Genomic DNA, 16,281 nt, shown 5'->3' on the forward strand with positions numbered 1-16,281 from the left:
ATAGTCTGAAATATGGCCTCGTGGGAAGGGAAAGACCTGACCGTCCCCCAGCCCCACACCTGTAAAGGGTCTGTGCTGAGGAGGATTAGTATAAGAGGAAGGAATGCCTCTTGCAGTTGAGACAAGAGGAAGGCATCTGTCTCCTGCCCGTCCCTGGGCAATGCAATGTCTCCGTATAAAACCGGATTGTATGTTCCATCTACTGAGATAGGGAAAAACCGCCTTAGGGCTGGAGGTGGGACATGCGGGCAGCAATACTACTTTGTAAAGCATTGAGATGTTTATGTGTATGCATATCTAAAAGCACAGCACTTGATTCTTTACCTTGTCTATGATGCAAAGACCTTTGTTCATGTGTTTGTCTGCTGACCCTCTCCCTACTATTGTCTTGTGACCCTGACACATCCCCCTCTCGGAGAAACACCCACGAATGATCAATAAATACTAAGGGAACTCAGAGGCTGGCGGGATCCTCCATATGCTGAACGCTGGTTCCCTGGGTCCCCTTATTTCTTTCTCTATACTTTGTCTCTGTGTCTTTTTCTTTTCCAAGTCTCTCGTTCCACCTAACGAGAAACACCCACAGGTGTGGAGGGGCAACCCACCCCTTCATAAGAGACTACTGTTATTCATACTTTTGCCCTGACTTCTCAAATGGGACTCTGCATTGAGTATAGAGGAATTATGGAGACCATCATGGCGTTTTAATTTTGTTCAAAAAGGTGCTTGGTGTTTAGAAATCAAATACAAAGGGTACTTTGTACCTTATTACAGGATACAAAACAGAACAAATAACATTTGAGACTTATATTGTTGATTTTATTACACTTATTTGGGATGAGGGTCCTAACCTGATGCTCTTTTTTTTTTTTTTTTTCATTTTTTATTGAGATGGAGTCTCGCTCTGTCACCCAGGCTGGAGTGCAGTGGTGCGATCTCGGCTCAGTGTGAGTGCTGCCTCCCGGGTTCAGGCCATTCTCCTGCCTCAGCCTCCTGAGTAGCTGGGACTACAGGCGCCTGCCACCATGCCTGGCTAATTTTTTGTGTTTTTAGTAGAGATAGGGGTTCATGTGTTAGCCAGGATGGTCTCGATCTCCTGACCTTGTGATCCACCCGCCTCAGCCTCCCAAAGTGCTAGGATTACAGGCGTGAGCCACCGCGCCCAGCCCTGATGCTCTCTCTTGACCTGGTATGGCAAATTCTAGGGACTGTCTTTCATTTCATGATTAGCTTATTTTATTTCCTGGAGGGAAATAGAAAAGTTCAATTGCTTTAGAGAGTAATGAGCATATATGTTAATTATGGAAGGAATGGAATGTATATTCCATATACATATATGGAAGGATGCATATGTATATTATATATTATGTGTGTGTAGTTTATGTGTTTAACGTATATAGCATATTGATGGCATAGTCTTTACTACCTGGAATTGTTCCCTATTGCAGTTATGGTATTTGTTTAGAGAGAAGCAACTGATGATTAAATGTCAGTATAACTATGTTGGGCTTTATTCAGTGGCCAGTGGTGAACTACTGAAGGTAAATTACTAATGTCATAAGCTATGATCCATAAACAAAATGACCTGTCAGTATGTGGGTGAAAGGTTGGGAAGCAATAATTGAGGTTGGTAATAGGGTTAGAACTAGTGTAATGAACATAGAGAGGAGGTGAATGAAGCAAGATCATAGATATGGGAACTAACTCTGAGTATAAGTAGAGGAAACAGATTAAACTCTGAGATGACCTACCTTTTAGCATTACATTTTAGGTAAATTCTTTGTAGGTACATTTTAGTGTGTGCATATTTACAGCAAGTGTGCAGTAGCTGTTGATTTTTACTGTACCTTACTGAGATACAGTAGGATGAAAAAGAATTCATTCACTGAAACGGAAGAATTTTTCACTTTGGCTGTGTTGCGTTAGGCTTATATTAACCAAACTGATGCAAAGATGTTAGGCTTTTAGTTGATGGTATATTCAGTGAGAACCAATTATGTAATCGTGTCCAGAAAGGTGTAAGGTGATTATCCTGTTCTGTTCTGTCCAGATCAGACCATAGCTATGAAATTGAGTTTATTTTTCGGTTCAGTGTTTTGAGAGAGACTGATGCACTAGAGCCCTGAATTTATAGTCAGGGTGATGATGAAGACCCCAAATCATGTTGTGCAAGCAGTGGTTGAAGGACATAGGATGGTACAGACCATTGAAGGATAATTTGGGAAAATATAATGCTCTCTGTAAGATTTTGAGGAATTTCATAAGAGACAGATTAATTAATCTTGTTCTGTTTATTGTGGTGGCAGAATTATCAGTGTTACAAAATAAGAGTGAAAAAGATTTTAGAGCAACGTACAGAAGAACTTCTAATAGTAAGTGTTTGTATTAGTCCATTTCCATGCTGCTGATAAAGACATATCCGAGACTGGGCAATTTACAAAAGAAAGAGGTTTATTGGACTTAACAGTTCCACGTGGCTGGGGAGACCTCACAATCATGGTGAAAGGCAAGGAGGAGCAAGTCATATCTTATGTGGATGGCAGCAGGCAAAGAGAGCTTGTACAAGGAAGCTCCCATTTTTAAAACCATCAGATCTCATGATACCTATTCACTATCACGAGAACAGCATGGGAAAGACCCATCCCCATAATTCAGTCGTCTTCCACTGGGTCCCTCCCACAACACATGGGAATTATGGGAGCTGCAAGATGAGATTTGGTGGAGACACAGAACCAAACTATATCATTCCACCTCTGGCCCCTCCCAAATCTCATATCCTCACATTTCAAAACCAATTATGCCTTCCCAACAGTCCCCCAAAGTCTTAACTCATTTTAGCGTTAACTCAGAGGTCCACAGTCCAAAGTCTCATCCCAGACAAGTCAAGTCCCTTTCGCCTATGAGCCTGTAAAATCAAAGGCAAGTTAGTTACTTCTTAGATACAATTGGGGATACAAGCATTGGGTAAATACAGCCATTCCAAATGGAAGAAATTGGCCAAAACAAAGGGTCTACAGGCCCCATGCAAGTCTGAAATCCAGTGGGGCAGTCAAATCTTAAAGCTCCAGAATGATCTCCTTTGACTCCACGTCTCACATCCAGGTGACACTGATGCAAGATATAGGTTCCCACAGTCTTGGGCAGCTCCTACCTCCTGGCTGCCTTCAGGGGCTGGTGTTGAGTGTCTGTGGCTTTTCCAGGCACATGATGCAGGCTATCAGTGATACCATTCTGGGTTCTGAAGGATGGTGGTCCTCTTCTCACAGCTCCACTAGGCAGTACCCCAGCAGGGATTCTGTGTGGGGGCTCTGACCCCACATTTCCCTTCTGCACTGCCCTAGCAGAGGTTCCCCATGAGGACCCCGCTCCTGCAGCAAACTTCTGCCTGGGCATACAGGCATTTTCATACATCTGAAATCGAGGTGGAGGTTACCAAACCTCAATTCTTGACTTCTGTGTACTCACAGGCTCAACACCACGTGGAAGCTGCCAAGGCTTGAGGCTTGCACCCTTGGAGGCCACGGCCTGAGCTCTATGTTGGCCTGGCCTATGTTTTCTGTCATCTTCTTCTGAGCTCTCCAAACTGTTCCAACCTCTACCTGTTACTCAGTTCCAAAGTTGCTTCCACATTTCTGGGTATCTTTTCTGCAGCACCCCACTTTACTGGTACCAATTTACTGTACTAGTTCATTTTCACACTGCTGATAAAGACATATCTGAGACTCGGCAATTTACAAAAGAAAGAGGTTTATTGGACTTAACAGTTCCACATGGCTGGGGAGGCCTCACAATCATGGTGGAACGTAAGGAGAAGCAAGTCACATCTTACATGGATGGCAGCAGGCAAACAGAGCTTGTGCAAGGAAACTCCCATTTTTAAAACCATCAGATCTCGTGAGACTCATTGACTATCATGAGAACAGCACGAGAAAGACCTGCCCCCATAATTCAATCATCTCCCACCAGGTCCCTCTGACAACACATGGGAATTATGGGAGTTACAAGATGAGATTTGGATGGGGACACAGAGCCAAACCTTATCAGTGTTCAAGGATGATGTGACTGTCTTGCCATCTGTTGATGTGTGTAAACTACAGCCAGATAACCATTTATTGTGAAAATTTTTGAGGTTATGCATACATATTATAGAAGCTGTGCCAGGTGACCTTTCAGATCTCTTATACTATTAAATCTTTTGATTTTTATGGCATTACTGAGAAAGAATTAACAGGGTTTATGAAATAATTCACATTAGGGGTTAAAATAGAGTGGGATGACGAGGGAAAGGGTAGGTACTTAATGAATTTCATATTTGCAAGATGAAAATGTTAGATCTTTTTCATAACAGTGTGAATATACTACTTTTTTTGAGATGGAGTTTTGTTCTTGTTCCCTAGGCTAGAGTGCAGTGGTGCAATCTAGGCTCGCTGCAACCTCCGCCTCCCGGGTTCAAGCAATTCTCCTGCCTCAGCCTCCCAAGTAGCTGGGATTACAGGTTCCCACCACCATTCCTGGCTAATTTTTGTATTTTTAGTAGAGACGGGGTTTCATCATGTTGGCCAGGCTGGTATCGAACTCTTGACCTCAGGTGTTCCACCTGCCTCGGCCTCCCAAAGTGCTGGGATTACAGGCATGAGCCGCCATGCCTGGCCCAGTGTGGATATACTTAACACTGTTAAACTTTACACTTAAAAATGGTTACGGTGGTAAATTTTATGTTTTTAATCACATAATAAAAGAGAGGGAGGGAGGCAAGAATCACTGTGACTAAGACTTCATTCATCCTTGGAATCAGAGTGAAGCCATTAGGACACAAAGGGAACACGGGAGGTCCAGCAGGTGTCTGGAGGAGGTCACTGAAACGGTTTGAAATGTAGGTATATCCTCATCTTGTTTGCTTGAGGGGGAGCCAGCAGTGAAGTGCAGTATCAATTTAAAGGTTCTCAGATTGGGCAAGATGTTTAACAGTAGCCAAAGACAGCTTGGCCAGAGGAAGAACTTGATTTATGTTGAGAGGAATATCAACAGACATAGAGAATCTTTATCAAAGTATCAGGCCAAAGAGTGAAGCATAGCATCAGTGGAAAAATGCACAATGATGAAAAGTCAGACCACAGAACTCAAAACAGGCCAAGGTAAGTGGCCCAAGGTAGTAATTAATGTGAAGGTTTTAGAGGACTGCTTATATGTGTTACTGGTTTCATGGTGTTTGGGTGGCTCTGTCTTGTTTAAAAGAGCCATGATGATTAGATCATATTCATATGGAGACTAACAGACAGCTAGAAATTCAAACATTGGGGTTTGGGGGAGAGGTTGGATCTGGAAGCAACAATATTAGGGTAATAAAGATAACTGTGGACAGTAATATACATTAGATAGTTAAGACAGAACAAGTGGAGAATCAAAAGGAGGCTGAAGGCAGGCAGGACCATAGTAATACCTAGTTTTAGGGAGGTAAAGGAGGCAGATTCAGTGGTCAGAAAGGTAGAAAAATATATAGAATCCTAACCAGTAGAGAAGGCCATTAAGCTTAAAATCAGCAGAGAGGTTGAGAAGGACTAATGCCAAGAAAAAGACTTCCAAAGAACTATTTCAAGGTAAAATTGAGCCAGAGGCTATGCCATAACATAAATATGTGAGTGTGCATCAGCACGCAGAGGCTTCAGAATTGAGATCTGCTCTTGAGAAGTCTGGTGTGGAGGCTGACAAGGTAAGAGAGCGGCCAAACGTAGGGATGTTAACCCAGTGATCTTTCTTTTTTTAGCAGAGCAGGTATTTGTCCACTGAAGTCAAGACAGTGACATGCATTGACTGTCTATAGCAACACTTCCTTTCTCACTGGGGAAGGAAAGTAGTTGAATCTAGTTGCTTGTTTTGTTTTTATTTTTGTTTTTTAATTTTCATCACCAGTGTTTTCAAATGGTTATAAACTTTTAAAAATATTTGTGGTAAAGAACATATAACATGAAATTTACCACCTTAGCCATTTTAAGTGTTCCACTCAGTAGTGTCATGTGTAAGTACTTGCTTTATTGTGAAACAGATCTCTAGAACGTCTTCATTTTGCAAAACTGAAACTCTGTACCTTTTAAACAACTTGTCTTTTCCACTTTCCACTGTCCCTGGCAAGTATTATTATACTTCCTGTTTCTATAAATTTGACTCCTTTAGATACCTCATATTAGTGGAATCATACAGTATTTTTTTATTTTTGTGACTGGCTCACTACACTTAGCATAATGTTCTCAAGCTTCAACCATGTTGCATTGTGACAGGATTTCCTTCCTTTTTAAGGAATTGTATGTATATATAGTGTATGTATATACCAATTTCATTTATCCATTCATTAATCCAGCACATGGCCAGTGAGGACATAGCGAATGACGAGGAGCACATGGTCATCCATGAGGAGGAGGGGGTGATGATGTCATTGCTGATGACGGCTTTAGCACCACTGACACTGATCTCAAGTTCAAGGAGTGGGTGACCGACTGAGAGTGGGGACAGCTCTGGGGAGGAGCCAGAGCGCAACAAGGGCTTTCATGGGAAGGTATTTGCACCTGTCATTCCTTCCTCCTTTACTCCTGCCGCCCCTTGCTGAATCCTGAGCCCCCAGGGTCCCCCGATCCACCTGCAGTTTTTGGCAAAGTCTATGGTCCCACCCCGTCCTTCTCCTACACATTCTCGGATGCTTCCTCCTCAACCTTGGCACCCACCTCCTTCTTACTGGGCCCAGGAGCCTTCAAAGCCCAGGAGTCTGGTCAGGGCAGCAGAGCGGGCCCCCTACGGCCCCTACCCCTGGGGATGGGGGCCCAGGGACGCCTTCCAAGGTGACCTGTTTCCTCCCAATGGATCCTGCCACCTTCTGGTGCAAGAGACCTGAAAGTGTGGGCGACCTGGAGCTACCAGGCCCCTCAGTCATTGTGGTCCCTCCCAACACTAAGGCTTTCCTAGGCAGGAGCTGGGCTGAGCCACCCAGGGGGCAGAGCCTGAAGAGGAGAAACTGGGCTTTGGGGGTTGGGGCAGAGGGAACCCCACGGACATGGATCCCGCACTGGCGGACCCCACCACACCCAAATGCAAGATGAGAAGATGCTCCAGCTGCAGCCCAAAGCCCAACACCCCCAAGTGTGCCATGTGTGATGGGGACAGCTTCCCCTTTGCCTGTACAGGTGGAGAAGCCGAGGACGGGCTCAGGGAACCGGAGACGGAGAAGGCGCTGTCCTCTTCACTGCACGCGCCCTGGACCAGTGCTGGCCTTGATCATGCAGCTCTTCCAGGCCCACTGCTTCTTCCTGTCCACTAGGCCACAGCTGCCCTCCAGGCCCACTATGCACACATCTTCCCCTCCAAGGTTTGTTCTGCCCCTGCCCTGACTCCCAGCCCTGCGGGGGTCCTGACCCCACCTCACCTGGCTCAGACTCTGATGCTGCCCTGGCTGCCCCACCACTGCCTCTGCCCGAGAGTCACGTGAGGCTGAGAGTAGGGGCAGGGGCAGCAGTGGTGCCAGTTGGGGGGCGGTCCAGTGGGAGGAGCCTCAGCCTCGTGGGCTGTTCCGTGGGACTGATGACTGCATGATCTTCTGGGCACCTCACGGATCTTCAACTGCAGGTGAAACGGATGCTGGTGGTGGGTGCAGGGCCACTGGGAGCCGCTGCATGGTCCCAGAGGCTGGACTGGGGCAGGTGCCAACTGAAGCTGCTGGGGCAGCATGGGCAGGATGTTCTGCACACAAACCTTGGAGAAGAAAATGTGTGCATAGCGGGTCCACTGCTGCTGCCCCTGCCCTGACTCCCAGCCCTGCCTGACCCCACCTCACCCTGCTCAGGCTCTGGTGCAACTCTGGGTGCCTTGCCCCTGCCTCTGCCCCAGAGTTGGGGCCTCGACAGCCTGGCTGGAAGGGGACACCCCAGCCCTGCCTCAACACCTGGGTCCCTCCATAACTACCACAGGCAGATGGGCGACCCCAAAGAAGATCCCAGGACTCACAGTACCCCCTGAGAACATGGACAGTATGTGGGGGTAGCCATGGAGGTCAGGATGGTTATCTTCTCCCGGGTAAAGCCATTTAATCCTTTCAGTTTGGGATGGAATAAGGCCTGCTTTTTTTAATTTTTTTTTGAGACGGAGTCTTGCTCTGTCGCCCAGGCTGGAGTGCAGTGGTGCGATCTTGGCTCACTGCAACCTTTTCCTGCCTGGTTCACGCAATTCTCCTGCCTCAGCCTTCCGGGTAGCTGAGATTACAGGTACACGCTACCACGTCCGGCTAATTTTTGTATTTTTAGTACAGACGGGGCTTCACCATCTTGGCCAGGCTGATTTCGATCTCCTGACATCGTGATCCGCCTGCCTCCACCTCCCAAAGTGCTGGGATTACAGGTGTGAGCCACCAGGCCTGGCCAAGGCCTGCTCCTCTTATATATACCCACTATCCCTGCAGCTGTACCGGGGGAAAGCTTGGCAGTTTCCCTCCTCCGAGCCCCTGTACATATCATGAAGTGTGGGACCTTCAGAGCTTTTCACTTTTCGGAAAATAGCTCCTGCTGGGGCTACAGGATGGAGTGTGAAGAGGGCCTTGGGCCACAGGGAGGTGCCTGTCGACTATGGGGAGTTCATGCACCCCTTCTTTCCCCAGAGGGGCTGGACTCAGGTGAGTATGGGGGTGGAAGCTCCTGCACTTCGACACAGGCAGCGGGAGGGTTTTCTCCCCATTCCCTCTGCTATCCCAACTTGAGTTGTACTTTTTAAGAAAGTGATTCACCCTGCCTTTGCCCCCTTCCCCAGAACAGAACACGTTGATCACGGGGATATTTTTTATTGTGCCAGAAAGTTGCCATGACCGTCATTAAACCTGTTTAACACCAAATAATAAGGAAAATAAAATAAAAAATTCGGGCTTGGTGCAGAAACTCACTCCAAATAAATTACCTACCAAAATATTTATATAATGATGGAAATATTCCAAAATTCCATATTTTGGGATTTATACACAAAAGATAAAAAAATTAGAGTCCAAGAGGCTGCCAGAAGTGAAAAACGGGGCCTGGAAAGGCCGTTGTGAGGAATAAGCTGGGCCTAAAGAGGCCACTGGCAGGCGGGAGCTGGGCCTGCAGAAGCGGCCGAAAGGCAGGAGCTTTGGACTGGGGAGGCCGCAGTGAGGCGAGAGCTAGCTGGGCGTGGAGAGTCCGCTGTGAGGCCGAGGCCGAGGCCGGGCCCGTGCAGGCCTTCGGGAGGCAGGAGGCCGGGACTGCAAAGGCCGACTGGAGGTCAAGTTCTGGGCCTGAAGAGGCTGCCAAAAGTCAAAAGCGGGACCTGGGAAGGCCGCTGAGAGCCATGAGCTGGGCTGGGCTGAAAGAGGCCACTGGGAGGCAGGAGGAGCTGGGCCTGGAGAGGCTGACTCGAGGAAGTTTTGCACCTGGAGAGGCCGCCGAGAGGACGGAGCTGGGCCCGGGGAGGCCGACTTGCTGCTCTTCCAGGCCCAATTCCAGGCCGACTTGAGGACGACTTGGGCCTGCAGAGGCCGCCGGGAGGCCCAAGCTGGGCCTAGAGGAGCCCACCGACCGGAGGCCGTTTGGGGCCTGCAGATGCCATCGGAGGGCAGGAGCTGAGCCTGGAGAGGCCACCGTGAGGCCTGACCTGGGCCTGGGGAGCTTGGCTTCAGGAAGCTGTGGGCCGACCAAGGCCGCCAGGAGATGGGTAGGCACTGAGTCCAAAGAGGTTGTTGAGAGGCAGGAGTCGGGCCTGGAGACGCAACCAGGAAGAAGAGCTGGGCCCAGAGAGGACACCCGGAGGGTGCAAGTGGGTCTGGAGAGGCCGACTTGAGGAGGTTCTGGGCCCGGAGAGGCCGCCGGAAGGGAAAAACTGGGCCTGGAAAGGCCGTTGTGAGGAATGAGCCCCATGGGCCTGAAGAGGCCACTGGCAGGCGGGAGCTGGGCCTGCCGAAGCGGCCGAGAGGCAGGAGCTTTGGACTTGGGAGGCTGCAGTGAGGCGAGAGCTAGCTGGGCGTGGAGAGTCTGCTGTGAGGCAGAGGCTGGGCCTGTGCAGGCCTTCGGGAGGCAGGAGGCCAGGCCTTGTCGAGGCCTGCAGAGGCCACCGAAAGTCAAAAGCGGGGCCTGGGAAGGCCGCTGGGAGGCATGAGCTGGGCTGGGCCGAAAGAGGCCACTGGGAGGCAGGAGGAGCTGGGCCTGGAGAGGCTGACTCGAGGAACTTTTGCACCCGGAGAGGCCGCCGAGAGGCCGGAGCTGGGCCTGGGGAAGCCGACTTGAGAACGACTTGGGCCTGCAGAGGCCACCGGGAGGCAGGAGCTGGCCCTGGACAGACTGACTTGACGACAGTCTGGGCCTGCAGAGGCCGCCGAGAGGAAGAGCTGGGCCTGGAGAGGCCGACTGGAGGAAGTCCAGGGCCTGGAGAGGATGCAAAGCAGCAAACACTAGGCCTGGAAAGGCTGCCCTGAGGCATGGGCTTGGCCTACAGAGGCCACTGGCAGGAGCTGGGCCCGCAGAGGCTCCCGAGAGGGAGGAGCATTGCCCCAGGAGGCCACGGTGAGGAAGAGGTGGGCCTGGAGAGCCCACTGTGAGGTAGAGGCCGGGCCTGTAGAGGCCGCCGACAGGCAGGGAATGGGCCTGTTGAGGCCACGAGAGGCATAAGCTGGGCCTCAACAGGCCAGTGTGAGGCAGGAGCTGACACTTGGGCAGGTTGCAAGAGGCATGAGTTGGGCCGAAAGAGGCCACCGTGAGGGAGGAGCTGAGCCTGTACAAGCTGCCAAAAGGCAGGAGCAGCTTTGGACTGGAGAGGCCGCAGACAGGGAAGAGCTGGGTGTGGAGAGTCTGCTGTGAGGCAGAGGCTGGGCCTGTACATGCCCTCGGGAAGCAGGAGGCTGGGCCTGGAGAGGCCGACTTGAGAAAGTTTTGCTCCTGGAGAGGCCACTCAGAGGCAAGAGCTGGGTGTGAAGAGGCTGACTTGAGGTCGATTTTGGCCTGTAGAAGCCACTGGTAGCTAGGAGTTGGCCCTGGAGAGGCTGACCTGAGGACAGTTTTGGCCTGTAGAGGCCACTGGGAGGGAGAGCTTGGTCTGGAGAGGCCAAGTGGAGTAAGTTCAGGGCTTGGAGAGGATGCACAAAAGGAAACGCTCAGCCTGGAAAGTGTGCTGTGAGGCATTAGCTTGGCCTACACAGCACTTGGAGGCAGGAGCTGGGCCTGCAGAGGGTGACTTCAGGACGATTTTGGCCTGCAGAAGCCTTTGGGAGGAAGAGCTTGGCCTGGACCGGCTGACTGGAGGAAGTTTTGGGACTGGAGTATGCATCAAAAAGCAAAAGTTAGGCTAGGAAAGGCCACTTTGCGGCATGATCTTGGCCTACAAAGGCAACTGTGAGGCAGGAGCTGGGCCTGTAGAGGCTGCCGAAAGGCAGGAGCTTGGCCTCAGGAGGCTATGATCAGGCAAGTGGTGGGCCTGGAGGGTCTACTGTGTGGTAAGAGTCTGGGCCTGTGTAGGCCGACATGAGGCAGGAGCTGAGTTAGGAGAGGCCAACTTTTGGAGAATTTGGGCCTGCAGAGGCTAACAGGAGGCAAGAGCTGTGCCTGGAGAGTCCATTTTTTAGCATAAGCTGGGCCTAAAGAGACCATTGTGAGGCAGCACCTGCCTGGGAGGCAGGCAGATTCGTGGCCTGGGGAGGCCACCGTGAGGCAAATGCTCAGTTTTCGGAGGATGCTGTGAGGCAGGGAGAAACTTGGCTTTCGGTGGCCGCAGTGAGGGAATAGTTTGATTGCTGAGGCTGCTGGGAGGCCGAAGGTGGGCCTGGAAAACTTTACTTTAAGAAGTCTGTGGCCTACAGAGGCTGCCAGCAGCTCAGCAGGAGTTGGGCCAAAGGAGGTTGTTGTGAGGCAGGAGATGGGCCTGTAGACGCACTGGGAGGATGAGCTCGTCCTGGAGATGCCGAGTTAAGGACATTCTGGGCCTGGACAGGCTGCAAAAGGCAAAAGCTGTGCCTGGAAAAGTCGCCATGGGGCATGAGCTTGGCCTGAAGAGGCCACTGCAAGGCAGGAGCTGGCCCCGTAGAGGCTGCCGAAAGGCAGGAGCTTTGCCTGAGGATGCCACAGTGAGACACCATCTGGGTCTGCAGGGTCCACTGTGAGGCAGAGGCTGGCCTGTAGAGTCCGACAGTAGACACAAGTTGGGCAAAAGGCTGATTTGAGGAAGTTTTGGGCTTCAAGAGTCAGCCAGGAGGCAGGCACTAGGCCTGGAAATGGCCCGACAGTCATGAGTTGGGCCTAAATGGGCCACCGTGAGGGAGGAGCTGTGCCTGTTGAGGCTGCTGGCAGGCAGGAAGAAATTTGGCCTGAGGCAGCTGCCATGAGGCAAGAGCTGGGCTTGGAAAAGCCCCTGGGAGGCAAGAGCAGGCCCTGCAGAGGCTGTTCTCAAGTCAAAGCTGGGCCTGTTCATGCCACCGGGAAGCAGAAGGTGGGCCTGGAGAGTATGACTTGAGGAAGTTTTGGGCCTACATTGGCTGCCATGAGCTGGACAGGAACTGGGCCAAAAAAGGCTGTTGTGAGGCAGCAGTTGTGCCTGTAGACTCAGCCAAGAGGAAGAGCTGGGCCTGGAGAAGCCCCCATGAGGCAGAGGTTGGGCCTGTAGACGCTGACAGGAGGCAGGAGCTGGGCCGGGAGAGGTCAACTTGAGGAGATTTTGGGCCTTCATAGGCCACCAGGAGGCAGCAGTTGGGACTAGAGAGGCTGACTTGAGTAAGTTTTGGGCCCGGAGATGACGTTCTGGGACAGGAGCTGTGCCTGGAGAGGTCACTGTGAGGCATGAGCTGGATGTAGAGAGGCCAGTGTGAGGCAAGACCTGGGCCTGTCTAGGCTGCTGGGAGACACGCAGGAATCTGGCCAGGGAAGGTTGCCATGAGACGAAAGTTGGGCCTGGAAAGGCCCTTGTGAAGCATGAGCTTGGCCTAAAGAGGCCACTGGGTGGCAGGAGCTGGGTGTGTAGAAGCTGCTAAAGGTTGGGAGCTTGGCTTGGGGGGTCCACAGTGAGGCAGATGCTGGGCCTCAAGAATCTGCTATGAGGCAGATGTTGGGACTGTAGAGGCCGACGGGAGGCAGAGGCTGGGCCTGGAGGGGCCACCAAGATGCAGGAGCTGGGCCTGGAGAGGCTGCAAAGAAGCATGAGCTGGGCCTGGTGAGGTCGACTTCAGAAAGTTCAGGGCCTAGAGAGAAGGCTGGGAGGCAGGAGCTGGGTCTAAAGAGGCCATTGTAACGATGGAGCTGTGCCTGTGGAGGCTGTTGTGAGGCAGTAGGCTCATCTGCGGAGACTGCCGTGAGGTAGGGTATGGGCCTAAATAGGCCATTGTGAGTCATGAGCTTGGTCTGTAGAGGCTGACTGGAGAAAGTTCTGGGCCTGGAGAGGCTGCCGGGAGGTAGGAGCTGGGCCAAAAGATTTAAGCACATTTACATTTATTAGGCACTTCGTTTCCATTATTACACTGTAATATCTAATAAAATAATTATAGAACTCACCATAATGTAGAATCAGTGGGCATGTTAAGCTTGTTTTCCTGCAACTGGATGGTCCCACCTGAGCGTGATGGGAGAAAGTGACAGATCAATAGGTATTAGATTCTCATAAGGACAGCGCAACCTAGATCCCTCACATGCACGGTTCACAACAGGGTGCATTCTCCTATGAGAATCTAATGCTGCTGCTGATCTGAGAAGGTGGAGCTCAGGCGGGAATGTGAGCAAAGGGGAGTGGCTGTAAATACAGACGAAGCTTCCCTCACTCCCTCACTCGACACCACTCACCTCCTGCTGTGTGGCTCCTTACGGCTCCATGGCTCAGGGGTTGGGGAGCCCTGCTCAAGTGCATCCAAAGCGACCCTTCCCACACCAGTCTTCATAGTGGTCAAGTGCAGTAACCACTTAGCTCCCAAGGCATGTGCCTCAGCTGGCATTTCGTCACAATCAACAGTAAGTGGTAGCTTGAGTCATTGTGAGGTCACTTCCTGGAAATCACCAGCATCCCATTTCCCACTGGCAAAGAGCTCAGCACTGCCCCCTGGGAAACCAAACCTATGCCCAAATCCCATCTGTGTGGGTTTATCTCCTGGGACCCTTCCTAACATATTAGTCAGAGTCCAATCAGGAAGCATAAACCACTCAAAAGTTTAAAGTGGTAAAATTTAATACGGAGAATTATTCATTATAACAGGTGAACGGCATAATGAGAGATTGGCTAACCCAAAGTAAAGAGAACTCTAGAGAATACAGGACTAGCCCAGGCCAGGCATGGTGGCTCATGCCTGAAATTCCAGCAATTTGAGAAGCTAATGCAGGAGGATTGCTTAAGGCCAGGAGCTAGAGACCGGTCTGGACAACACAGTGAGACCCTGTCTCTATCCAAAAAAAGAAAAAAGTTAGCTGGGAGTGGTGGTGCACACTTGTAGTCCCAGCTACTCGGAACGCTGAAGTTTGAGCCTGGGAGGTCAAGGCTGCAGTGAGGCATGATTATGCCACTACAGTCCAGCCTGGTGACAGAGCAGGCTGTCTCAAAGAACAAAACAACAACAACCATTTACAGACAGAAAAGAGATAGAGCTAATAAGCTAAGGAAAGATGTTGAAATGTGACAAGTAAAGTAATATGAGGTCTTTTATCTATTTAAAATAATCAAACAAAAAATGACTTAGTAAATTATAATACCCTGTGCTGGCAAAGGTGCAGTGAAACGGGCACTTTCTTGTACTATGAGGGGTGTTTAAATTGTGTATAAGCCTTCCCGGGTAAAGCTTGTCAATTTCTTAAAATAATGGAGACAGGGTCTCACCATACTGCCATACTGCCTCCTCCAACTCTTGGCCTCAAGCACTCCTCCTCTCTTAGCCTCCCAAAGTGCTAAGATTATAGGCTGGGAGGCACCCAAAACCCTGTCAATTTACATCAAGGGTAATGAGAATGTCCATTCACCATGTCTCACAGTAATCTTACTTCTGGGGAGATAATTCAATCTAAACAAAAGGTCATCTGTACAAACACAGTAAAAATCTGGGAGTAACTGAAGACAGAGTTGGTAAGTGAAATAAGAAACAGTTATAAGAAATTAAACTATGATATCAATAGGCACCTGGTATAAAAGGTCAGTTGATGTTAGCTGCTACTTTTTTGTTGTTTTGAGACAGGGTCTCACTCTGTCACCCAGGCTGGAGTGCAGAGGCCTGATCATGACTCATTGCAGTCTCAGCCTCCCTGGGCTCAAGTGATCCTCCCACCTCAGCCTCCCAAGTAGCTGGGACTACAGGAACATGCCACCACACTAGGCTAATTCATGTATTTTTCTGTAGGGATGGTGACTCCCCGCTTTGTTTCCAAGGCCTATCGCAAACTCTTGGCCTCAAGCCATCCTCCTGCCTCAGCCTCCCAAAGAGTTGCGATTACCAGTGTGAGCCACCACACCTGGCCAGCTGCTACTTTTAGCAATATTATTATTATTCCACTCAATTAAAAATTATTATTTTCAAGGCTATGCAACAGTATGTATCCTACAGCGTAATTGTAAAAACATATACAGTCGTCGTCCCTCAGTATACAGAATTAGTTCCAGCCCCCCATCTCTGCATATACCAAAACCCATGCTTACTCACGTTTTGCTGTCACCACTCTGGAATCCACTTATATGAAAATTCCAAATATTAGTTGGGCATAGTGGCAAGCACCTGTAGTCTCAGCCACGTGGGAGGTTGAGATGGGAGAATCACTTCAGCCTGGAAGGTTGAGGCTGCAGTCAGCTGTGATAGCACTACTACACTCCAGCCTTGGACAACAGAGGGAGACCCTGTCTCAGAAATAAAAACAAAACAGGTTAGAAATTGTACTGAGGTCTGTTGGGCAAAATTCCATATAAGCAAAGTATAAATTAATAAAGCAAATCGTGATAAATTAGTACGATTGACTTTCTGGAGTTTCAGACAATAAAAGTAAGGAAAATGCAAAACACAAAGACAGAGAGTAAAAAGAGAAATTAGGAAAGCATTCTACATGTTTAATAGGAAGACGCTGGCCATGGTCGTGCAGCGGCAGTATGTCGTGACATGACATACCTTGGAGAGAAGTTAACAGATGAGGAAGTTGATAAAAATCATCAGAGAAGCAAAATACTGGTAGTGACACTCAAGTAAACCACGAAATTTCCATAACTTATGTCAGCAAAGTGGGAATATTGTACAGTGTGTGTTAAAGTTCCTATACAACATTGTTTATCTGCCTTTTGTTTGTTTGTAAGGAATGTATATAC

At 49.7% G+C, this 16,281-nt stretch overlaps 1 long non-coding RNA gene and 1 pseudogene across 1 annotated transcript; one reads left to right on the plus strand and one right to left on the minus strand.

Moving 5' to 3' along the window:
• LOC100131884 (capicua transcriptional repressor pseudogene) lies at positions 6,361-8,862 on the plus strand (annotated as a pseudogene).
• On the minus strand, positions 8,803-13,940 carry LINC01061 (long intergenic non-protein coding RNA 1061). The gene is made up of 3 exons (NR_037596.1): positions 13,797-13,940; positions 13,512-13,569; positions 8,803-13,418 (listed from the first exon to the last, which is right to left on the minus strand). It is a non-coding gene; the product is annotated as a long intergenic non-protein coding RNA 1061 (long non-coding RNA).
• Positions 13,941-16,281: the final 2,341 nt, after the last annotated feature.

Source organism: Homo sapiens, chromosome 4, assembly GCF_000001405.40.
Source record: "Homo sapiens chromosome 4, GRCh38.p14 Primary Assembly".
NCBI lineage: Eukaryota > Metazoa > Chordata > Mammalia > Primates > Hominidae > Homo > Homo sapiens.